This window comes from Homo sapiens, chromosome 11 (genome assembly GCF_000001405.40).
Source record: "Homo sapiens chromosome 11, GRCh38.p14 Primary Assembly".
In the NCBI taxonomy this organism is placed as follows: domain Eukaryota; kingdom Metazoa; phylum Chordata; class Mammalia; order Primates; family Hominidae; genus Homo; species Homo sapiens.
This window is the reverse complement of record NC_000011.10, coordinates 76,276,031-76,300,035: the sequence shown is the minus strand read 5'-3', so window position 1 is coordinate 76,300,035 and position 24,005 is coordinate 76,276,031. Positions and strand designations below refer to the sequence as shown.

At 54.6% G+C, this 24,005-nt stretch overlaps 1 long non-coding RNA gene across 5 annotated transcripts in view, besides 2 other annotated features; it reads right to left on the bottom strand.

The window, feature by feature from the left end:
- Positions 1 to 15,639, bottom strand: part of LOC105369395 (uncharacterized) — a 36,263-nt gene extending 20,624 nt beyond the window's left edge. The window contains exons 1-4 of one of the 5 annotated variants that reach the window (XR_950332.1): positions 15,407 to 15,639; positions 1,309 to 1,523; positions 734 to 833; positions 196 to 236 (exon numbers count right to left, since the gene is read on the bottom strand). This is a non-coding gene — a long non-coding RNA (uncharacterized LOC105369395). Of the gene's footprint in view, positions 1 to 195; positions 237 to 733; positions 834 to 1,308; positions 1,524 to 8,169; positions 8,251 to 15,406 lie in introns of those variants that run through there. The other 4 variants (XR_950328.3, XR_950329.3, XR_950333.3 and 1 more) reach the window with 4 other exon arrangements.
- Positions 7,977 to 8,772: an enhancer, noted in NCBI's record as "H3K4me1 hESC enhancer chr11:76002308-76003103 (GRCh37/hg19 assembly coordinates)". NCBI's record gives its function as "activates a minimal SCP1, AML or CMV promoter by ChIP-STARR-seq in primed H9 embryonic stem cells {active_cell/tissue: H9 hESC(primed)}" and the evidence as "EXISTENCE:reporter gene assay evidence [ECO:0000049][PMID:30033119]".
- Positions 8,110 to 8,169: an enhancer, noted in NCBI's record as "active region_5286". NCBI's record gives its function as "activates an Ori minimal core promoter by ATAC-STARR-seq in GM12878 lymphoblastoid cells {active_cell/tissue: GM12878}" and the evidence as "EXISTENCE:reporter gene assay evidence [ECO:0000049][PMID:35858748]".
- Positions 15,640 to 24,005: the final 8,366 nt, after the last annotated feature.

The window sequence follows — 24,005 nt, the reverse complement described above, 5'->3', positions numbered from 1 at the left end:
CTCCTGTAATCCCAGCACTATGGGAGGCCAAGGCAGGCGGATCACCTGAGGTCAGGAGTTCGAGACCAGCCTGACCAATATGATGAAACCCAGTCTCTACTAAAAATACAAAAATTAACCAGGTGTGATGGCATGCACCTTTAATCCCAGCTACTCGGGAGGCTGAGACAGGAGAATTGCTTGAACCTGGGAGGTGGAGGTTGCGGTGAGCCGAGATCATGCCATTGCGCTCCAGCCTGTAAAACAAGAACAAAATTCCATCACAAAAAAAAAAAAGAAAGAAAGAAAGAAAGAAAAAAAAGAGATAGTGGGCATGCAGCATTTGCGGAACACATCTACACTTGGGCTTTGTGGATGTCCAGCCTGGAGGACACTCCTCTTGTCCCACGTTCTCTGTGCCTTCCAGTCCCCATTCATGTCTCATGAATGCATGCATAGCATGTGCCAAGAATGATCATTGTGGGGGCTCTACAACCAGACTTCACAAGTTTGAATTCCAGCTCTGCTACTCCTTAATTATGTGACTTTGGGCAAGTTACTTGTCTCTGTGCCTCAGCATCCTCATCTGTAACATGGGATAATGTTGGCACCTATGTCACAGATAGTGGTGAAGATGAATTGGGTTTGTTTCTGTAACTCAATTGTGTGTAACGTGCAATACATGAGGGGCTCGCCCTCCGTAAATGCCAGCTATTCCTATCATTATTATGGACATTAGTAGTAGTGGTATTACCTGTGAGACTGAAGCACGCCAGCTCCTCAGGGAAGGGGGACTTGGAGGAAATGATCGGTCTACCTGGGCCAGATCAAAACTCGGGGGCTTCCGGGTATGGCTAGAGAACAAGAAAGTAGATGTTTCCGTTGGAAGTTCCTTGACAATCAAGGAACAAGAAAGAATGTAGGGTCAGGAGTGGTCGCTCATGCCTGTAATCCCAGCACTTTGGGAAGCCGAGGTGGGTGGATCACCTAAGGTCAGGAGTTCGAGACCAGCCTGACCAACATGGAGAAACCTCGTCTCTACTCAAAATACAAAATTAGCTGGGCATGGTAGCGCATGCCTGTAATCCCAACTACTCGGGAGGCTGAGGCAGGAGAATCGCTTGAACCTGGGAGGCGGAGGTTGCGGTGAGTGGAGATTGCACCATTGCACTCCAGCCTGGACAAGAAGAGCGAAACTCCGCTCTAAAAAAAAAAAAAAAAGAAAGAAAGAAAGAATGTAGCTGGGTTGGGCAAAGCCCCAGAGAGAACTGGGACATGGCAACAACAGGATGTGCCCATCTGTTGGGTCCATGGTTGGTACCATCTTACCTGGAGGGCAAAGCAGGGAGAAAAATCATAGCACCTATTGGGGATCTCTCTCGCCCAGTCCCCACAACAGCCACATGCAGTAGAAATAGCCACTCTGCATCTCAGTGCACAGATGAGGTGATTGGGACTCACTTGCTTCAGGTCACAGGGCTGGTGGCAGAAGCAGGATTCAAGCTGGGGCTGACTCCGAACCTGTGTCTATAACCATGGCCCTCCTGGGAAGGGAAGCAGAGGGAGGCTGCCGTTCTCCAGCGGCCCCCGCCACACCTCTGTGAGAGCCATGTGGGTGGGCAGCACGGCCACTCCTTCAGCCCATTCAGCGCCCGGGCCCTGGCTGGGTTGATACATTATTTCTTTGGAAAGCCAGAAGCTGCTGAGAATCACTGCAGGTAGAATCCCTCTCTGGGTCCTCTGATGGCCCCATCCATGGTGAGAGCCATTCCCTGCCTCTCTCAGGCTGCAAGGGCAGCAAGGTAGGCAGAGGGAGTTATCTCGGCGGCCCAGTCCCATGGGTCTGGCAGCTTGTCCTTTGGTTTTGAGGCCCAGTGCTCTCCAGTGAGCTCAGGGTTCCCTGGGTCAGGGGATCCCAGGAGGTCTCAGGACCTGGAAACCATCTAGAGCAACTTTACGGGGCTGCTGGGTTCACAGGGCCCATAAAACACATTGAGTTTGAAGCCCTCAGAGTTTCCATTTTCTCCCAGGCACAAAATGAGAGGAGCAGGAGCTGGACACAGTGCTTTGTGGGGCAGCTCCCACGCTCAGGCCTGCCGTGGGGTGGGGGTCGAGACTGGGGGCCTGAAAGCCAGCCAGGGAACAGGCACCTGCCAGGCGTCCTGCCAGTCCTCATAGCCCCTGAGTTGGGTGCAGACGATCATTCCTTTCTAAATAACATTTTTTGGTTTGTTTTGATTTTGTAAAATCACGCTATATTCTTATTCTACAGGACACGAACCAAGACTCAGAGAGGTGAAGAGACTGGAAGAACAAGGTAGCCCTGGGGACGAGAAAGAGGAGGAGAAAGAAATGACCCAGGACAGGCTGTTCTGGGGACCACCCCCATCCCGACTACAGGGGGAGGCTTTTGTACCCAAGAAATTGTATCCGTGACTGAGGATACAATTTATATCCCACCTCCACCCTTTATATGAAAGGAATAAAGTAAACATGTTTTTAGGCTGCAACATGGGGGGAAATAGGAATGATTTTTGCATCAAAACAGTCTTGATTGCAGACAGGGCAGGCGAAGGCACCAAGGGGATCCACCTTCCACGCAGCCACGCCATGAGCTGGTGGCAGGCTGGCCTTGGCCCATGGGGCCAGCGGGCACTGGGAGCTGGTGTCTGGTGTGGAGGTCAGAGGCTGGCCCCCCTGGCCCAGCAGAGGGGTACCTGTCAGCTGGCTAGATCACTGGCCTGCAAGCACGTCCCTTCTCCTAATGCAAGTCAGCTCTGGGCCAGGCGGCTTTGTGGGAAGAAGCTCAGACCAGAGACACCAGCTCCTCAGGAGGGAATCCTGGCTGCAGCAGTCCTGACCAATAGCCCTCCAGGAAGTGATTTTTCCACCCCTGCCTTGATGGGGCGTGTGCTCCCTCCTCCCAGAGTAACCTCATGTGGGGCCCATCTGCCTGGGAGAAGATGCTTCCAGACGCTGGTTCAAACATCTGGCTTCCTGAGCCTCCTTTCTGTTGATCCTCACTTTGCCCTCTGGGACCCCACTCATTCATTTGTTCATGTTTTCCTTCAGCAAATACTGTGAGTCCAGTGTGGGTGGAGCCTGTGTCTGCCACTCCCTCTGCCCAGGCAGGCCCTCTGTGACAGGAGCGTTCTGTGTCCTCTGGAGGCTACCTCCACTCTTGGTCCATTCTTTCCCTGCTCCCACCTTCCTACCACCTGGCTGCCCTCTGAACAGTCAGCAAGGACTCGCAGGAGGCCGTGGGCAGAGAGCAGGGCCTGAATGCCCGGCTGGGTGTGAGGGCCTGGGTTACAGGCCCAGCTGTGCCCCTGCTTCCTGCACCCCTCTGTGGTCTTGTCTGTAAAATGGGGATTCAAAGCAGATGGTCTTGAGGCTCATCGCTCTTTACCTGTTAAGGCTCTGTGCAAAGGCCACCTCTGGCCCTCTGACCCCAGCTCAGATTCTTCCAGTTTCTGCTCTGAGAACGGCTATCTCATCTTAGCATTGACTATGTAGGAAGCAAACCTGCCCTGGCAGATCCCTGAAGGTTTATCCTGTACCCCAGCCCCAACACTGGGCCGGGCACAGAGGAAGGCTTGGGTAACATGGGCCTGAACCAAGAGGTGGGTGGCAACAGGCAGGACAAGAACATCCACTTCCGGGGTGGATGGTGGGGCTTAAACTCCAGCCACAGCTCATGATCTCTGTGATCTTGAGCAAGTTTTTAACCTCCCTGGGCCTCAGTTTCCCCACCTGGGTAAAATGGGGATAATACTCCAAGAGGGAATTAAATTATATTTTACTTATTTATTTTTGAGACAGGGTCTCACTCTGTGGCCCAGCCTGGAGTACAATGGCACGTTCGTAGCTCACTGCAGCCTCCACCTCCTGGTCTCAAGCCGATCCTCCCATCTCAGCCTCCTGAGTAGCTGGGACTACAGGCACAAGCCACCATGCCCAGCTAATTTTTTTATTTTTTGTGGAGACAGGATCTTGCTGTGTTGCCCAAGGTCATCTCAAACTCTTGGCCTCAAGTGATTCCCCCAACTCAGCCTCCCAAAGTGCTGGGATTACAAGTGTAAGTCACTGAGTCCTGTTGGCGGTTACATTATATAAATAGGTTTCATGTATTATAGATGCTCAGTAAGTGGCTATTGTGTTATTTTATTTGCCCACATAAGGCAGGGGTTCTGCATCTTACAGAGGTATCTGTGCATTCTATGGGAGTATGCCCACAGATTGCAACTGTATTCAACTCATCTGTGTGCCCAGCCTTTACACTGGGCTCCTAACCGTGCACACCAGGCTTCAAGGACCCCATAGGATGGTGTTCCATGGTGGGCAAGCATATGCAAACCTGTCCCCAGTGTCCGAGGAAACCGAGAGGCTGAAGCTGGCCAAATCAGTTTCTTAGAGAGAAAAATGTAATAGGGTCTGACAAACAGAAGTCATTGTTGTGTCTTGGGTGGCAGTGAGACAAGATGGTGGATCCCTGCACCATTATCCCCCGAAGACCCAGGGCTTATATACCATAGGGAAAGGGCATCTGTGATTCAGAAGGGATGTGTAGGACAATCGAAGTACTACAACATCAAGGTTGTTTTGGCCTAAGGGCAGGATTTACAGTAAGTGTGCACTCTTACACAAGGAACAATAGAGAAACTGGAAATCTTAGAGGCCTTCCCAGAACAGGGGTTAATCAGAAGTCAACATGGTGTATCAGCATCCAAGATGCTCGTTTGGCATCATAGCTGTGACTGGGGCTGGAAGTCTGTGGACAGTGGAGGAGAAACAAGGTTTGAAATGTATAGAGACTGAAGCCTCCCAGGTTCAAGCGATTCTCCTTGCCTCAGCCTCCCAAGTAGCTGGGATTACAGGTGCCTGCCACCATGCCTGGCAGATTTTTTTTTTTTTTGTATTTTTAGTAGAGATGGGGTTTCATTATGTTGGCCAGGCTGGCCTTGAGCTCCTGACCCCATGATTCGCCCACCTTGGCCTCCCCAAGTGCTGGGATTACAGGCATGAGCCACTGCGCCTGGACAACTTATGCAATATTTTCTATAGAAAGAATAGAAAGATAATTCAGTCTTTTTTTCATGTGATTGATTGAAACTAGTGTATTATGATTGACAATTGAGATGCATAAAATATGCAGCTTCAGACACAAATACACTTGCTATTTGTTCTACTGCTGTAGGGTTGTGCCCTACAAATGTAGAGCTCTGGCAAATTCTATTTCACATGATTCCCATCAAGAAGAAAACCTGGATGTATTTATTTACTTTTTATTTATTTTGTCTGTTTTTTTTTTTTTTTTTTGAGATGGAATCTCACTCTGTCACCTAGGTTGGAGTGCAGTGGCACAATCTCGGCTCACTGCAACCTCTGCCTCCTGGGTTTGAGTGATTCTCCTGCCTCAGCCTCCTGAGTAGCTGGGATTACAGGCACCTGCCACCAGGCCCAGCTAATTTTTTTTTTTTGTATTTTTAGTAGAGACAGGGTTTCACCATATTGGCCAGGCTGGTTTCGAACTCCTGACCTCAAGTGATCCGCCCGCCTCGACCTCCCAAAATGCTAGGATTACAGGTATAAGCCACTGCGTCAGCCTATTGTGGTTTTTTGTTGTTGTTGTTGTTGTTGTTGTTGTTTTTGAGACAGGATCTCATTCTGTCACCCAGGCTGGAGTGCAGTGGTGGGATCTCAGCTCACGATAGCCTCTACCTCCCAGGGTCAAGTGATCCTCCCACCTCTCAGTCCTGGAGTAGCTGGGATTATAGATGCATGCCACCATTCCCAGCTGATTTTTGAATTTTTAGTAGAGATGGGGTTTCGCCATGTTGCCCAGGCTGGTTTCAAACTCGTGGGCTCAAGCAATCTGTCCTCCTTAGCCTCCTAAAGTTCTGGGATTACAGGTGTGAGCCACTGCACCCGGTCCAGAAAAGATGTATTTATAATTTCTAATTATATAGGCTGCACTATCTATGACATTCCTGATGCAAGATCATTACTGGGTTGGTTTGTTTTTTGAGAGGGGGTCTCACTCTGTCACCCAGGCTGGAATGCAGTGGTGCAATCATGGGTCACTGCAGCCTCCACCTCCTGAGCTCAAGTGATCCTCCTACCTTAGCCTCCTGAGTAGTTGGAACTATAAGGCATGCACTACCATGCCCAAAGAACTTTTTTTTTTTTTTGCATTTTTTTGTAGAGATGGGGGTTTCATCATGTCGTCCAGGCTGGTCCTGAACTCCTGGACTCAAACGGTCTGCCCACCTCAGCCTCCCAAAGTGCTGAGATTACAGGCATGAGCCACCACACGAGGCTGATAATTTCTGTTTTGATGAGGCCCAAATTCTTTGCCTACAATTTGGTACATCTGATGCCTGAACGAATACTCCAGACTGGCTTCAGTCTCTATACATTTCAAACCTTGTTTCTCCTCCACTGTCCACAGACTTCCAGCCCCGGTCACAGCTATGACACCAAATGAGTCGGCACGGTGGGCAGGCAGTATAGGTATTCATTCTGAAAGCTGTTCCTATACCAGAACGTCTAGTAATAACTCTACCCGTAAGTGACCGCGAACCATATAAATATGCACCACTAATCCCAAATTACTGTAAATGTATCCTCAGCTCAGCTTCCCTTCAGCTAAATCCCCCAAATGCCTCAGCCACTCAACACCCCTTGACAGGAAAGGAAGGAGGGGAAGTAAAAGTGAAAAGAAACAGCGGTATCAACCCTTTGCGGCTAGAATACCTTGCTTTGTGCAAAGTTTTACAAAAACATATGACCATGGGAACGCATTGCTAGGGTATCTATCTTCCAGCGAAGGGACAGCTGTAAGCAAGGGGCACTGAAGTGTAGACTTTATTAGCTTCTGGGTATGTCTGCCTTGGTGCCTGGCCCTGTTCTAATCAGTGGATGAGCATTGTCTCAGGGAATCTCCGTAACTACTCTGTGAGGTGGGATTTTTTTTTAAAAACAATGCAGAAACGGAGGTCCAAAGAGGTAGAGAGAGAAGCCAAAAGTCATGTGATTGATAGGGACAGGTTTGAAGTCAGAACCACGTGACCCCCAAGGCTACACTGGTAACTTTGTTCCCCAGAAACTGATGGGACTGTTGCCAAGAGATGGATGCAAGAATGGGTGGATGGATGGATGAACGCCTGCCTCATCCTCTAGTTTACTGGGTACTCAGCGCTAGCTGTTTTCATACAGGGAACTCCCTAAAGGCAAGACAGAGTCTGATTCTTCCCTTGCACAGGGCAGGACAGAGAAGAGGAACTCAGAAAAGGGCCAGGCTGGGGGGCTGAGAGATGAGGTGCCCCAGGACCTGCCCACAGAGCCCAGCAATAGTGTAGAGAAAGAAGACCTACACCAGGCAGAGGTGACAAGTCACAGAGCCATGTCTACTGGGTACCACTGCAGGGTTCCGCTTAGAGGCAGCATGCAGAAAAAGCCCAAGTCATTCTCCCCCAGGCCATAATGCAGCATAAGGCAAGAGGCTGGACAGGCCAACCTCTCAGGGCCCTGAGCCCTGCAACGCATCCTTGTCTACTCCTCTGCCTCAAGGCATTCCCAAGCTTCCCTTTGGAGTTTTCCAAGGTGTCAAGGGAATGAGATGCCCACCCGGGTGGTCCATTCCAAGGTTCAACAGCCGTAACGGACAATGCCCGGGAGCTGCAAGCCGAGCTCAGTTCCGCTTGAGGCATTTTACGGGCCCAGCCTGGGTAAACACGGGCTCCATTAATGCACCCGGGGTTTCACCTCTGCTGCTGTCAGTCTCGCCTCCCAGAGCCAAAGGCGCTCGAGCGTGAGGCACAGAGGCAGCTCAGAGAAGACAAGTGAGGGTGAGAGGGCTGCATGGCAGGGACCCTCAGACACTTCCCAGTCTCCCCAGACCCCGTCACAGATTTGGGACTGAGGCTTGGGGACTGGAGGGAGCAGGGAGCCCCTGGGGCAGAGGCAGAACTGGAGCATCAGGATATAACACCACCACCCCAGGTCCCATGCCTCTCCTGTAGATGGAGACTGTGCTTTCTAAGCCAGCAGGTGAGACATGTGGTCTGGCCACAGCTGGCTTCTTATGGGAGCAACTGGACAGAAACCGAAATCAGAACCGTCTTGAAAACTCCAGGACTCTGCTCCCTGTGATCATTTATCACTGATTCTCCCACACACTCCACGCACCTTTCCTGGTGCCAGCTTCTCTGTAGGCCCTGGGCCGGGGCTGGGGACCCCGAGATGAGTCAGACCTGGCCTTCGTCCAGGATGAAGTCACAGTCTGGTGGGGAGACAGGTGTGGACACAGGCAATGACAATGACAAAGCGGTGTGCTCAGAGCTGGGACAAAGAGGAGCCCCAGGGAGGGGCCCCTAACATAGACCGAGGTCAGGAGGGTGGGGGTGTGCCCTGGGGGAGGCGGAGGCCTGACCTGCATTCTGAAGATGAGTTCATCAGGGTGCCCAGCTATGGAAGGCACCGAAGGCAGGCAGGGAAAACAGCACCTGCAGAGTGACAGTCCTCTAGAGGGAACGGTGTGGCTGGGAAGAGGGCCTGGCACACAGCGAGCACTCAGCAAACATCTTTTGAAGGAATGAATGCATGAGAAGTTTGGTGTAGTTAGAGTGTGGGACTGGAAAACACTGGAGGGGGCTGGAAATGGAGAGTCTTAAAAATCATACTAAGGAGTTTGGTGAGTCCTAGGCCAGAGGGGAGCAGGGGAAGGGGAGGGACATGGCCCAATTTGCCTTTGAGGAAGACCTCTCAGGAGGCGGGGGTTGAACACGCATCAGGAGTAGAGTTGTCAGGTCAAACATAGGACCCTCAGTCAAATGTGAATTTCAGATAAACAGTGAATAACTTTTTTGGCATTTGTGTACTTTTATTGCTAAGCCTGGCGACTATAATTTGGAGTGGGAGTGGGAGGTATGGGGAGGTGAGCACATGAGAGGAAGGCCAGGGCAGCCATCCAGGGGGAGGCGGTGCTGGCCTGCACAGGGCAAGGGCATGGGAGGACAGGAGGGGACAGCAGACAGCATTTGTATTTGTTTGCTTTTTTTTTTTTTCATGAAAACTTGTTTTTGAAATATAACATGCATACAGGAAAGTGCACCAATCATAAAAATATTCCTTAATAAATTATCAAAAGTGAACACATCCGGGTAACTACCAGGTGAGTCCACAAACAGGACGATGTTCTTGTGCCCTTCCTGCCCTGGGTTGGGACTCCTCAGTTCCACCTGTGCTGTTCACGCCTGGCCTCTTTCGTTCAGAGTTGTATCTGTGAGAGTCCTCCATGGGGCTGCATGTAGTAGCAGTGGCTGGCCACTCTCATTGCTGTATTGCATTCTGTTGTGTGAAGGGATCACAATTGATTTTCCCTTTCTACTGTTGGTGGGCATTTGGGTAGTGTCTGGGTTGGAGCTTTAGGAACAGTGCTGCTATGAGCATGCCAGAACCTGTCTATGGGGGTGCATTTGTACACAAGTGTGCGGGATACATTCAGTGATGTGCCGGAGCCAGCTTGCAAGAGTCCATGACATGTGACGGGGCACGGTGGCTCACGCCTATAATCCCAGCACTTTGGGAGGCCAAGGCAGGCAGATCACTTTGAAGTCAGGAGTTCGAGACCAGCCTGGCCAACATGGTGAAACCCTGTCTCTACTAAAAATACAAAAATTTGCTGGGTGTGGTAGCAGGCGCTTATAATCCCAGCTACTCCGGAGGCTGAGGCAGAAGAATCGACTGAACCCGGGAGGCGGAGGTTGTAGTGAGCCGAAATTGCACCACTGCACTCCAGCCTGGGTGATAGAGGGAGACCCTGTCTCAAAAAAAGAGTCCATTACATGCATCTCTTCCCAACTCTGCGTTCCGGGGCATTGCATTGGTAGTTTCAAATAGGCCACAGTGGGATTATTGACACCATAGAATTTGGCAAATGTTACAAATCAGGACTTTTCCTTTCTTTCTTCCTTTTTTTTTTTTTTTTTTTTTTAAGGAATTCTCACTCTGTGGCCCAGGCTGGAGTGCAATGATCCTATCTCGGCTCACTGCAACCTCCGCCTTGCATGTTTAAATGATTCTTCAGGAGAATGGCATAAACCCGGGTGGCGGAGCTTGCAGTGAGCTGAGATCGCGCCACTGCACTCCAGCCTGGGCAACAGAGCAAGACGCTGTCTCAAAAAAAAAAAAAAAAAGATGATTCTCCTGCCTCAGCCCCCTGAGTAGCTGGGACTACAGGTGCCCGCCACCATGACTGGCTAATTTTTGTATTTTTAGTAGAGACTGGGTTTCACCATGTTGGCCAGGCTGGTCTCGAACTCCTGGCCTCAGGTGATCCAGCTGCCTCGGCCTCCCAAAGTGCTGGGATTACAGGCGTGAGCCACCTCGCCCAGCTTTTTATTTATTTATTTTTTTTTTTTGAGAGCTGGTTGTTATACATTTACCAGCACACCACTGGATATGTCCCTAAGAGTAGATTGCTGGTTCATAGGAGATGTTCAGCTTTATGTGTGACACAGTGTTCCAAAGTATTTGTACTCAGTTATACTCGCCCAGCATTGTGTGAGCTCCAGGTGCTTCACATCGTCACCGTGGAGAGGTTTTCATGAGGTGTAGACAAGTTCACTGTGGGGAGGGAGGGGAAGGCGGGTCATTCAGGGGATGCCCACCGTCTGGCTGGGCTTCTGGAAGTGCCATTTCTGAGAGAACCCAGGGAGAGCGGGTTTGAGGATGGATGGGCATGGGGAGTCTGCAGGGCCTGGGGGCATCCAGGGGTCATCAGCTGTGTGTGTGCATCGCACATCTGTTCACCTGCTGCCCCCTCATCCCTGCCCCAGGCTTCACCCCTGTGCCTCCCCTGGCCCCCATCCTCTCCATAGCCTCCCCTTCCTGCCTCCTCTTCCCCTTTGTCTAGGGTTGTGAGGGCACCTGCAGTGAACCTGGCTTTGATGGTCCCTTCCACCCCAGGCACTGCCATGATTCAGTGTGGGACCTGAGACAGGTCATGCTCCGCTCTGGACCTCAGTGTCCCCTTCTGTACACTGGGATCCTGGGCAGAGGTTGTGGGGGGCAGACCTCGAGGTCCTGGTCTCCAGGGGCTGCAGGCTCTTGTTCTCCACATCATGGTTTGTGAAGCTCTTCACCCCTTCCAGAGTGAACTGCTCGCTGAGCCCCAAGCATTTGTAGCCTTGCCACCTGCTTATTATCTAAGATTTGTTGAGGGCTTTGCAGTGAGAAACACCTTACTTCCTCTGCTCCTCCCGTAGCCCTGTTCTCTCTGCACCTGGGGCCTAGGTCCAGGCATTTGCTGGGGCCAAATGGCCTTGAGAGTGGCCGAGTCAGAATGCAAACCCGGATGTGGGATGACAGTGTCCAGGCTGGCAGAGCCATAGGCAGTGCTAGGGCATGCTGACTTGGTTCCCCTGTGGCCAGCTGAGGTCCTGGCACAGAGGAGATGTCGCTGGAGGTCTGTGGAATCAAAGAACACCCTGCTCCTGCCCCGCTCCTTTGTGCAGGGCTGGATAGGCAGGAGGACTTGGACGGAGCCTGTGGATGGGCTGACTGTGTGGTCGGGGAGGCGGGGGCACAGCTCTGACCAGCTGGGTCGTGGGGGGTGGTGCATAGACGACTCCGAGACCATGGCCCATTTCACCGGAGCAGTTCTCTGCGAAGGCAGGAAGTGGTTTGTATTTTCAGAAGGAAATGAGCAGGGCTTGCTCGTGGGGAGCTCTAGACAGCTCTGGGAAAGGGCTCCAAGGGAAACAGGCCCCGGAGGGGAGGCCAGCGCCAGCCCCTCCCTGTGAGGCGGGCAGGTGTTGACCAGCAGGGCTGACAAACGAGCTGACCGTGTCCCTTCCCTGACATTGCTGAGAGATGCCTCCCTCCAGAGGGGGTTTCTCTGGCGCTGAGACTCCAGGAGGTGCACGTGGGCCAAGCAGGAAGGGGAAAGGGGCCTAGACTCCTTTCACCACCTCAGAGACCCTACAAATCAGGACTGGCAATGGGAGGGCTAGGTCTGCTGCTCTCCTGCCCAGGAGGTGGAGCAGGAGGTACCAGAGGGGGAGGAGAACTGGCTGGGGCTGTTTGGAGATCAGAGTATCCCTTCGATTCTGCTATTCATCCATCCTTCCTTCCACCTTCCACCCTGTTCCACACCAACCCCAACTGAAGTCCCCGTGCTGGGAGTGCAGACACAGAGATGGAGATGGAGCAGGCTCAGGCTCTGACTCCAAGGGGCTCCAGACCTGGTGTGTGCGTAGGGGGTTGGGTGGGAGGCTGACTAGTAGGGAGCTAATGACACAGGGTGCCCTGAGGCTGGTGACCAGCCCTGCCTGAGGGGCAGCAACAGCTTCAGAAGAGGGTAAGGTGTGAGTTAGCTCTTGATAGGTATAGGAGGCCATCAGGGGAGCAGGCAGGGAAGTGACCCTTCGGGGCACTGTGGGTGGAACCCTGCTGGGTTCTCAGGCCCCAGGGAACTCTAAGAAGGTGAGGGGCAGGAGGGGGTTGCAGGCCTGGGCTGGCAGGAGAGCAAATCCCTGTGTTCTGGTTCTGCCTTAGTCCCTGATGGTTCTCAGTGTTGGGCCCGCCAGGAGCAGCCTCCGCCCTGCCCCAGGAGGTGGAGAGGAGCTCTGAAGACAGCCCTGGGCAAGGGCTTAGGCCCGAGGCAGGCGTGGCTCCCTGCTTGCCTTGCTCTGGGATCTGAGCGGTGCTGCTTTCTGCCGCCTCGACCTCATGGGACTCACAACCTGGTGGGAGACGGTCATAGCCTCACAGATGGCCACCATGGAGATGGCTCTGCAGGGAGGGGTGGAAGAGAGCGAATTTGTCAGAGGAGGAGCCAGGGGAGGGCATGCCAAGCAGAGGAAAAAGCTTGTGGAGGCCGAGGCAAGAAGGAGCAGGTTCAAGGCCAGTGTGGCTGGAGCGCAGGAGCCTGGAGAGAGGATGGGAGGTGAGGCAGCCATTCTGTGTAGGGTCAGAAACCCTTGAAAAAGAGAAGCGGACATGACCAAGTGTGCAGTTTTCTGTGCCAGGGCCTGGGCTGTGCAGCAGGGTGATGGGCAAGCATGCCCTGGCCTTGCTCTAAGGCTGGAGAAAAGATTTTTTTTTTTTTTTTTGAGACAGTTTCACTCTTGTTGCCTAGGCTGGAGTGCAATGGCCCAATCTCAGCTCACTGCAACCTCCGCCTCCTGGGTTCAAGTGATTCTCCAGCCTCAGCCTCCCTAGTAGCTGGGATTACAGGCATGCACTACCACGCCTGGTTAATTTTGTATTTTTAGTAGAGACGGGGTCTCACCATGTAGGCCAGGCTGGTCTCGTACTCCTGACCTCAGGTGATCTGCTCACCTCAGCCTCCCAAAGTGCTGGGATTATAGGAATGAGCCACTGCGCCTCGCTGAAGAAAAGAATTTTTAAGTAATTCACCATGGCTCCTGGATGACAGCGAGACCAGTAAGGAGACTTTTGCAAGTCCAGATGAGTGGTGGGGGGACTTGGTGCTGAAGGTTGTTCCCAGATGTCCAGCTTGATGCCCAGGGGGCCGTGGGTATAAGATGGGAGACTTTGGGAGGCAACTATAGAGAGGGGTGCCAGAAGTGATGAGCTGGTCTTGGAAGGTAGATGAGCCTGTGAGATGTCAGGTGGCCCCTGTGGCTCTGGAAAGAGAGGCCTGAGATATACAGGGAGGTAGAGATAAAGATTGCCCAGGAGAAATGGCCAGAGAGTATAGAAGGGCTCGGTGCAGAGCCTGAGTAGCTCCTGAAAATTTGCCTCCTTATTACCTCCTTGCTCCTGTGCAGGCCAGGGCCCCTGCCCCTCCCTGGGCTCTGGGCTTCCAGTCTCACCCGTTCCAAGCCATCCTTGCCAGCAGCCAGGAGAGCCCTGCTGCAATGCCAACTAATTGCATGTCTCTAGCAGCACCCCTGTGCCTAAGCCTGGCTCTATCTGGCCTCTTCTACAATCCAGTGCTCTTCTCCAGCCCTTCTACCCTGTGCTGCCTCCTAGTGAAGGGTTAGATGTGTCATTCTGCAGCCCTTCTGGTGGCTTCATTCAGCCTTTGGGGCTTCGTGTATGTTTTCCTACTGTGAGGCAGGAACCCCCACTCCCTTGTCCATCTGATGAATCCTACTCATCTTTCAAGATTCAGCTCAGTGCCACCTCCTCTGAGAAGCCTTCCTTGGTTAGCCCATTTCCCCACAGAGTTAGGTCCCCTTCCCTGGATACCCCAGCCTCCTATATGCTCAGATCACTGTGTTTCAGAGGGTGTCACCTTCCGCCATCCCCAACAGCCTGGGAACCACCTGAGGGCAGCTCACAGGCCAGGCAGGCACAGGGCAGGAGCTCAGGAGGGGAGCTGAATCATAAGGCAAATTAAGTCTCTGTCCGGCAGGAACCTGGCCAAGGAGATGTGCTGGAGGGGTTTCCTGTCCCAGAGAGTGTGGTGGGCGTACAGTGCTAGGCACCCGCTAGGCTCCACAGAGAGAATGAGGAGGTGGGAAGATTGGAGGTAGGAGACATTAGCATAGCTGGGGCCCAGCAGATCCCTAGGGAAAATGGATGCCCTTCCCATTTGGCATGTGCGTGCAGGTGAGGATTGGACAAGCTGAGAGAAGCCTGCTAGGCAGGGGGCAGCATGAGGAAAGGCAAGATGGCAGCACCACATGGAGAACCAGTGTCGGGGCAGAGAATAGCAGGAAGTGACACTGGGGAGGGGGCTTTTGAAAGGCCCCTTAGAAACAGCTGTTCCCCTCGAGCCTCACCTCGGCCGGGCCCTGAACTTGGTGGTGTCTTAGTCTGTTCAGGCTGCTACACCAGATCCCCATAGACTGAGTGACTTAGACAACGAGCTAGCACTTCTGGAGGCTCGAAGTCTGAGCTCCAGGTGCCGGCAGGTCAGTGTCTGGTGAGGACCTGCCTCCTGGTTTGCAGATGGCTGTGTTCTCCTTGTATCCTCACATGGTGGAGAGCAGAGCGAGATGAAGCAAGCTCCCTGGAGTCTCTTTTTATAAGTGCACTAACCCATCACAAGGGCTCCGTCCTCCTGACCTAATTACCTCCGAGTGGCCCCATAATAACATCGCACTGGGGGTTAAGGATTCAACATAGGAATTTGGAGGACACATATGCAGTCCATCATGATGGGGACCTGTGGGACCCATCTAAAGCCCACAGCCTCTGTGAGATAGGTACTGGTGTCCTCTCCACTGGATGGATACAAACCAAGGCATGGAGAGGCCTGACCACCTGCTCAGGTCAAAGGTGGGAGCAGGGGTGTCTGACTCCAAGGCCCATGCTCATGACTGCCACATCCTACTGTCTCCTCCCCACCCTAGTGTCTCAGCCCCGCCCTGCTGTCTTCACCCTGCCCTGCTGTCTCTGCCCCACTTTACAGAGGGGGATACTGAGGTCCAGGCGTGCAGTGACTTACCTGGGGGTGCCCAGCAGGTCCAAGGAAGACAAGTACAGCCAAGCTGAGCTCAACTACCCGGTCGGGCCTCGTTTAACTGCACCCTCGACCACAGGGCCCCTCCTCAGTGCCGCTGGAGGAACTTCAGAGGCGGCATAGCTGGTAGAGGTGGGCAGGGCATGTGGCCTGGCACCTCTGCAAAGACAGACCCCAGCCCCAGCGGCCACTTTGAAGGAGGCTGAGGGCAGGGGTGGGGGCTGTGGAATTCACGGAATGGAATGTGAATTGTCTCCAGAGCTCCAGGCTGGGAGGGCCACAGGGTGAAGGGTTGGGAGAACAATGGGGGCCTAGGGAACTGGGGCTCCTGGGACAGACAGGGCCGGGCAGGGAGGGACAGGGCTGGGCTCGGCTGAGCAAGGCCCTGGGGTGCAGGTGGCTGAGATGAAACCACAGACCAGACAGGGAGCAGCCTCCTTTCCCCTAGATCCCACGGGTGCCAAGCACACTCAGCACCTGCCCCCAGGAGGAGACCGATCCTGACACCCTCCTTGTGCAGGAGGCTGAGAAGGCCATGCATGCTTTCACCGCCATGAGCTTGCCGGGCCGCAGCAGCCTGTGGGATGGGCCTAGTGGTGATCATCATACCATTGCATGGATTGGGAAGCTGAGGCCAGAGAGGCATGAATTACCCACAGCCCCTCAGAATGTCAGCGACACGTGCCCTTGATTCAGCGGGTTTATTTGAGATAGGGTTCCTCTCCCTCTCTCACCCAGGCTGGAGTGCAGTGGTGCCATCACAGCTCACTGCTGCCTCGATCTTCCAGTCTCAAGCAGTCCTCCCGCTTCAGCTTCCCAAGTAGCTGAGACCATAGGCACACACAGCACCATGCCCGGCTAGCTTTTTAAATTTTTTGCAGAGATGGGGTCTTGCCATGTTGTCCAGGCTGGTCTCGAACTCCTGGGCTCAAGTGATTTTTCTTCCTTGGCCTCCCAAAGTGCTGGGATTCCAGGTGTGAGCCACTGCACCCAGCCCAGTGTTTTGTCAGCACCCTATCGAGCTTTCCCACCGGGACCCACAGACCCTGGGGGAGGCCAATCAACTCAGGGCAAAGACGCCATCAGCTTCACAAGGGTGGGATTGGCTCCCTGGAGCAGTGTCTGAGTGCCAGGCAGCCAGGCAGGGGTTCCCACACGCTTCCACTCCCTCTCCATCCCTCCCTCCCCTTCCCCCTTCTCCTCCCCTCCCACCTGAGACTAACAATTCATTGGCTTGAGAAGCGCTGGCAACTCTGCAGAGCCTGTGGCTTCCATGGTAGGCCACGTGGTATGGTAAGTTCATTCTCACCTCTCACCTTCCTTTTGGGGGCAGCAGCCCTGAAAGAAAAAGTGTGAGGGCTTTGGGGTCAAGTCCGCTCTGCGGCTTCCTGCATTATGCCCTTGGGGACCCCACTTCACCTCTCCTGCCTCCTTTGACAGCTGCTGTGAGGATTTCATGAGCCACCTGCAGTTATAGGAAAACCCCAGGCCCTGGACACATATCCTCATATCCTCCCCCAGGCCCTTCTCTCCAGCCCCTCTGCGTCCAGGGTAGTCAGCAGAGTCAGCAGCAGGGGCCAGGCTGAGGTCAGGGCTGTGCTGAGGCAGAGGAGGGTCTGTCCTGCCCGGGCACAGGAGTCCAGCCTCTGCCTTCAGAGTGGGTGACCCCCTGGGGGTATCTGCCAGGGTCCTGCTTAGTGTCCCTAGCAGGGGACAGTGGGGTCTCTGACACAGATAATGCTGCTCATCCCTGGCCCAGAGCCCGTTTTAGGGTAGAGCTGACCAGCTGCTCCCTGGGAATTATGCTACACTGGGTGCTGAACACGCACGCTTACAGCCCCTGCCTCCATCTCACAGTCTACGACACTGTCTGAGGCCGTCTCCTGCTGCTGTCACGGACACCATAGACTGGGTCATATATAAAGAACAGCAATTTCTTTCTCACAGTTCATGAAAGCCCTTCCACACCCCAAGGCTGCACCAGGCCCCACATTCTGAGGCCACTGAACACCAGACACCTCCCTGCACCTGCCCCGGGATGGGCGACCCTGGAGCCCAGCCAGGCTCCTATCCACACGGTGGGTGCCCCTTTTCTGGGCCATCCTGATGCTTCTGTCAAGGCTCTGGAGTCCTCCCCGACCCCAGCACACTCCCCAGGCCTGCCGCCCCGGTCCCTCTGCCTTCTTCCTCGGCCCTGTGCCGTGCCTCCCACACTGTGGGCAGAGCTTCTTCCTCAAGCACCTGCGTCCTGTGCAGCAGCCTCCCCAGCACAGGCCTCACAGGCATTTACCGCCCTCACTGTCCCCCACATGCCCCATCCAGCCTCCACTCCCATCGCTGTGTCCCCATCGCGTCTTGGTCTTTGAGCCATACCATGGGCCACCCTTGTGCCCAAATGGGCCGGGTCTCCTCAGGCGTTCAGTGTGTTTTTCTCTCTGCCTGGAACTTTCCTCCCAAAAGCGAACATTTCCTAGGTGCCTAGATTCACCCTGAGGAGCCCTGTTTGTTTGCGGGTGATGTCTGCATCCCCCTGGAATGAGTGAGGCAGATTCGGAGGTGGGGAGCCCGGGGGAGGAAGTGGGTAGTCCAGATGAGGGATGGGAGAAGCAGGCTGCAGGGAGATGGGGAGGTGGGGAGTGCCTGAGACAGAGTCCCAACCCTTCCCTGGGCCTGTGTCAGCCACAGGGCCCTGCAGATGGTACCCCCCAGCCCCTATCAGGATCATAGGGAGTCAGAAAGAAGTCCCCTAATGTAGATGGGAATCCCAGCATCCAGAGAGGGCCAGGGACCTCCAGAGTCACAAGGAGGCAGGGACAGGGCCTTCCCAGTCCAGCCCGGTGAAACCTCCTCTGGTGCACTGGTGCCCCTACCCCCACCCCAGGGCCCCACCTAGGGGAGGTGTGGGCATAAGTAGCTGAGACCAGCCCCCCTGCCCAGCCTTGCCCAGAAACATCCCACAGAGTCCCATGGCAGGCGGGCTCAAGGGCACCTGGCTTCCCCAGCACCCTCGCCCACCATGGCCCCTGCACTTTCCCGTCTGTGATTTCTGGCAGCAGGAAGGAGCTGGCCGGGTTAGTATTATTTTCCTGGTTTGCCTGACTGCTATGATGGTTCCTAAAATCACACAGTGGGGCTGCTACCATCCTGTTTGGGAGCCGGGGGGCTCCTTATCTGAGCAGACCACAGCTCCGCTCCCGCCTGGAGCCCAGCCAGGACAGCCACACAGGTGCCCTGAGGTCATGTAGCAAGAGCAGTGGTAGAAAGCTTAGGCAGGGGACCACCGAGGACACTCGCACACATTGTCTCGCTGGACACTTCAGCCAGTGGGTCAACTGGGCAGAAACGGAGGTTCTGAAAGGGTAAGGGGCTTGCCCAAGACCACTCCACAGGTCCCAAGTTTCCAGGCCCTTGTGCTGTTTCTTCAACCCCCACCCCAGACAGTGAGCAGGGAGGTTCCAATGCCTTGGCCCCATCGGGGGAGACCTGGCTGTTCCTGCTCCCTGCCTCCCCTTCTTCCACGACGTGGCCAGAACCTGGCTGGGAGCAGGAGGCCGGGGTCCTCGGCAGCCCCTGGCATGGCAAGCTGGGTGAGTTCCCCTCTGAGCTCTGGACTCGTGGCTGCTCTGAGGACCCCTGCCCAACAATGGCCGAATTCTCACTCCCCCCACCCAGGCCCTCATCTCTCCACAGGGCATGAGGCCACCAAGTCTCTCCCTACTGGGAATGGGAGACCTAAGGTAGTGGTCAGAGTCTCTCTCTGCCCACAGGACCAGTGGGCACCCCAGGAGTCTGTTCTAAGGAACCCCACTGTTCCCTGTTCTAAGGACAACAGAAGGCAGCAGGTGGTTCTGGGCCAGCCGAGTGGCCTAGGTGGCAAGCTGCAGGAAGGAATGGCCGCAGGACTAGCAGGGCCCTGCAGCCTGGCTGGTGGTCCCCGAAGTCGTCTGTCGAATGTTGGCTTCGCAACTCAGGCAGTCTCCTCAGCTCCCCAGCCTTAGTGTCCTTGCCTGGAAAGGGAGGAAGTGGTAGCACTTATTCCATGCAGTTTCGTGAGGATCCCGTGTTAGGGCCTATGAAGCACTTAGCAACTGTCGGACACCTAGCAGATGCTTGACAAGATGCAGCTGAGTATTATTCGGAATATTTTTTAACAAGTGGTGGGCAGGGCCAGCTTCACTAGGAGCAGCCCTGGAGCTGAGGGCTGGACCTGATTTAGAGGCAGGCGAGTCCCTCTCCACCGAGCGCCCACCCACAGTGTCAGCCCATCATCAACTCCGCCCTGAACATCTCAAGGGGGTGTTACTGCTATCTCCACCTGCAGGAGTGCCCTGTGAGGCTGCACACATTCGAGGGTAGATCTGGGTCTCTATGGGGTCCTGATGCTCATATGCCACACTCCACCTGGCCACTCATGTTTAACCCTGCCCTCTCCTTGCGAGGGGGTGTCTCTGAATATGTGGGCTACCCCAGGAGCTGCTGGTGCCCTGCCCTCACTCTGCTGTGGGGACCTGACCTGTCTTCTCGTGCCCAGCTCTTTCTGGCTCAGCGCAACTGCAGAGCTGTCACCTCAGCCTTTGATGACATCTTTACTTCTTGCGCCCTGTTGTTCAAGCATCCGATCTGGCCCCTGTCTTCTCCCTCAGCCTTTGAACTTGACCAGGGTTGGGGCTGGGTCACCCACCGTCTGGGCCTCCCCACAGGTGTGAAGCTTCAGGCAATTCCTTCCCCAGCCACTGCCCCCTGTTTCACCCCCTCACATGCAGACACCTGCTGAGTGGTATTCAATGACAATACGTTCCCTCGGTCAGCAAATATTTGCCGCCTGTGGTTCAGCCCACCTGCAGGCCACCCAGGATAGGAGCAGAGGGGAGAGTGGCCATGAGCCAACAGCGGCAGGCTGCAAAGGACACCATTATCATCTCTGGCTGCATCACCAGAAATGTGGGGGCCAGGACCCTACATTTCTCCAAAGCTGGACATGGAAGGAATGTTCTACTTTGGAGAACGGCCTGCTCTGGGCTCCATGGACAAACTGGACCTTGTCCAGAGGAGGCAAAGTTAGACAGATCCTCCAATGCTTCCTGACGTCTGGTTGTTGAGACTATTACATATGGAAGATAGAATTTGAGATGATTTTAGGTGATTCATGAAAAACTTACAACATCATATAGAATAGTGTCATAAACCCCGTGTCTGAATCATCTGACTTCAACAATCATGGTAAAACATCCAGTTGCCTCCACCTCCAGCGTGAAGTCTTCACTCATCTCAACATTTTGGTCACAGCATTGACTTCTCCTGGGACCCTTGAGCTGGTTGAAAGCAGGAGTGACGCTGGTCTATGTGGGTCCTCAGCCCACGACAGGGCCTAGTCCACTTTAGGTGGCATCAAGGTAGTTGGATTGAATCAACAAAAGAAGGTGGGAAGGACCCAGCGGCCCAGCATCTTCTGAGCACCCGCTCTGGTTAGGGAGCTCTCCCACCTGTCACCCCCTTGTGAAGGAGGGACTATAAGCCCCATTTTACAGTTGAGGAATTGGAGACAGAGAGAGGTTGAGTGTCTCACCCAAGTTACACAGCATTATGTGGAAGAGGCGGGTTGGGAATCTACCTCTGTCTGGTCCTAAATGGCTCTGTAATTTTTGTCAATCCACACCAGAAAGATTTTGCCATTTTTTTAACAAAAGGAAGTTGATTTGGGGAGCAGTTTGGGGTGCCCCAATCCTGTTCCTGTCCCTATTGCCTGAAGGGCCTGGCCTTAGTCAGCTGGGCGAGTGAGATGGGGGACATGGTCTTCCACACCCCCAAAAGGGCATCCCCTCCTCTGCCACCACTCCCAGTGTCCTTAGAGTGGAGAGGACACACTGTCCTCAGCCCTAGACCTGCTGGTCACTTGCCTAATCCCGCTGCCTCTCCATCCTCCATCAGTGCTCAAGGGGGCACAGGGCATCGGGTGGCTAACCTCTCAGGGACTTGGAGACCTAGTAGGCTGACCCACCCACTCTTCAGACAGAAAGACTGAGGCCTGGAGAGGGGAAGAGGCTTTTGAAGCAATTCTAGGGTAGTCTTTCTCATGCATACGCTGTGCCTTTGTTGAAAGGGATCCTACGTTTGTGTCCCGGCCCTTGCCTGACTTGCTGGTTATGAGGGTCAGTATTATCATAACAACCCTATAAGGTAAACATTGGTATTAGTGTAATCACACAGATGGGGCAGCTGGGACAGAGAGGTGAAGGTGACCTTGCCCACAGTCACACACAGGTGTCTGGGATTTGAACCCAGAAGCGTGGCTCCAGAGTGCCCATGCTTAGGTAATTGCTGGGCTTCCAAGGGGGCTGGGTAATGCTGCCCTTGGCCTGAGGTCCCCCGGTCTCTTGCAGTGCACCCCTCACCTAGTGCATCACCCACTCACTTGCCCTGCAAAGGAGGCTTGGATGGGCTATTTGCCCCCGCACTCCAGCAGGAAGCAGGGAAACAAGAGGGCCCTGGCGGAGCTGCCGTCTCCCCTGGCTCTGCTGAGAGCACCCCAACCTACCCAGGGCCAGGTGGGCCTCCCCAGTTCATCCTGCTCGCAAAGCCAACAGACCGTGGCGTCTGCAGACCGTGACCTCCTCCCGGCAGACAGCAGCTCTGGCAGCTCCATCGTCATTGCCAACTCCAATGCCTCAATGCACATGGCGGGGCCCAGCCACAGAGCCCAGCCCCTGCCTCCCTGAGCCCACCCATGCGAGCCAGAGAGGGGCTGCGGGTGGTGAAGGAGGCCTGGGATGGAGGGGCAGGCTGACAGGCAGGGTCAGCAGGGCTGTGGTGTGGCTGTGTGACCTTGGACAAGTGACTTGAGCTCTCTGAGCCTGCCTCGCTTCACCCATTCTTTTGTAGTGGCTCTTTCAGGGAGCCACAGTGTGGAAACAGGATTTGTAAGGGGCAAACCACTGTGCGGATGGGAGGGGCTCCTGCTATGCTCCTGTTCTCTCCCATGACCCATTTGTCCTGCCCTTTCCAAGTGACCCCTGTGGTCACGTCACATTGACGTGCGCTTCAAGGACCATTGCCCTGGCTCGAGGGCCAGCTCTGCATACACTCACGCCAGACCGTCCCAGGCAGGCGGGGGCCGCGGGGTCTCCCATCTAGCCCCTGCCTATGCAGAAGAGGCAAGAAGGCCTGGACAGGAAGCCGCCTGGGTGTGGGAGCAGCGAGCACAGGAGAGGGTGTGGGCTGCAGTGGAGGCAGCCAGGCCTCCTGTGGAGCTGTGAGGAAGGCACAGCTTTGGAGTCAAAGAGCCCTTCATTCAGGTTTTGGCCTGAAGACCTGGGGTGCACGGGGCCGTGCTGCCGTGCTGGTTGACCCTGCACCACTCTGGGGGCCACCTGGCCCGAGACTGTCAACAGGAATTTGTGTATTTTTTAAGACAACGTTGTGCTTGCAGGAAGGGGTGGCTTTGGTGGATGTGCGAAGGTGCCAGCTCCCCTTCTGTCATTTATCTCTTCCCGCCTCTCCTGCACTTGCTCAGGGACTGCTCTAGGGAAAGGACTGGGTCTGATGGTCTCTACCCGGAACCCAGGACAGGGCCTGCCAGGCATTTGCTGAGTGCTTGAGTGACCCCTTGTGTGTGCCCAGCACCTGAGGACCCTGTTCAGGGCCTGCACCCGAAGGAGCCCCTCAAGCCCCGGACAGATGCAGGGACATGAAATGCCCAGGTGGGCCAAGAAGGACATCCCCACAGGTCCAAGCCCACAGTGTGTGATGTCCCCCCTGCCTACCCAGAGACCCCCTGCCAGGGCTGTCTGCAGGCCTTCAGGGTATACCTGGCACACAGGACCAACTGGGGGGTTGGGGACTGCAGTCAAGCCGGGGTCTGACCTTTGTTCAGACTCACACATCTCCCCAGAGCCTCCCAGGCCTCCCAGTCACTCCCTTGGGTCTTGGGTTCAGGAAATTGGAAGAGATTTCAGGTATAGAAAGGGTCACTGTGATGCTGACATGTGACATGACAATGTGGTGAAAGGTAGCACCCGTGGGCTCTGAAGTCAGACAGAGCCAGTCCGAAGTTCAGCTTTGCCACTTGCCAGCTGTGTGATCTTGAAAAAGTTCCTCTCCGAGCCTCAGTTTCACAGCATTAAGAAAGAAAACTGCTCCCAATCCTTGCTGGGCTGTAATTACTTCCCTGTCACATTCACTTAGCAATTTCTGCCTCACTTGAGCTTCTCATCAGGCCTGCATTTTACCCCTGGGAAACTGAGGCTTGATGAGGCGGTAGTCCCGGCTTTGCCATGTGACCTTAGGCAAGGCACCTCCCTTCTCTAGGCCAATGAAGAGGTCAGAGGAGACGTTCCCCTGGGTCTCATCTGCCCTCTGGAGTCTGTGTTTAGGTTTTGTGGTCTGGCCTCTGGGATCTTGACTGTTCCCACTCAGTTGGGGGGTGTAAGCCTGGGCCTGTGTGTGGGTTGCGTGTGTTGGGGAGGAGGGAGGCAGTTGTTTTTGGTCATCAGCTGGCCAGGCCAGCCCCTGGGGGTGCATCCTCGGAGCCCTATCTCTACATGAACTTTCTCTCATCCCCAAATTGCACACAAGGCACTTTTTGGGA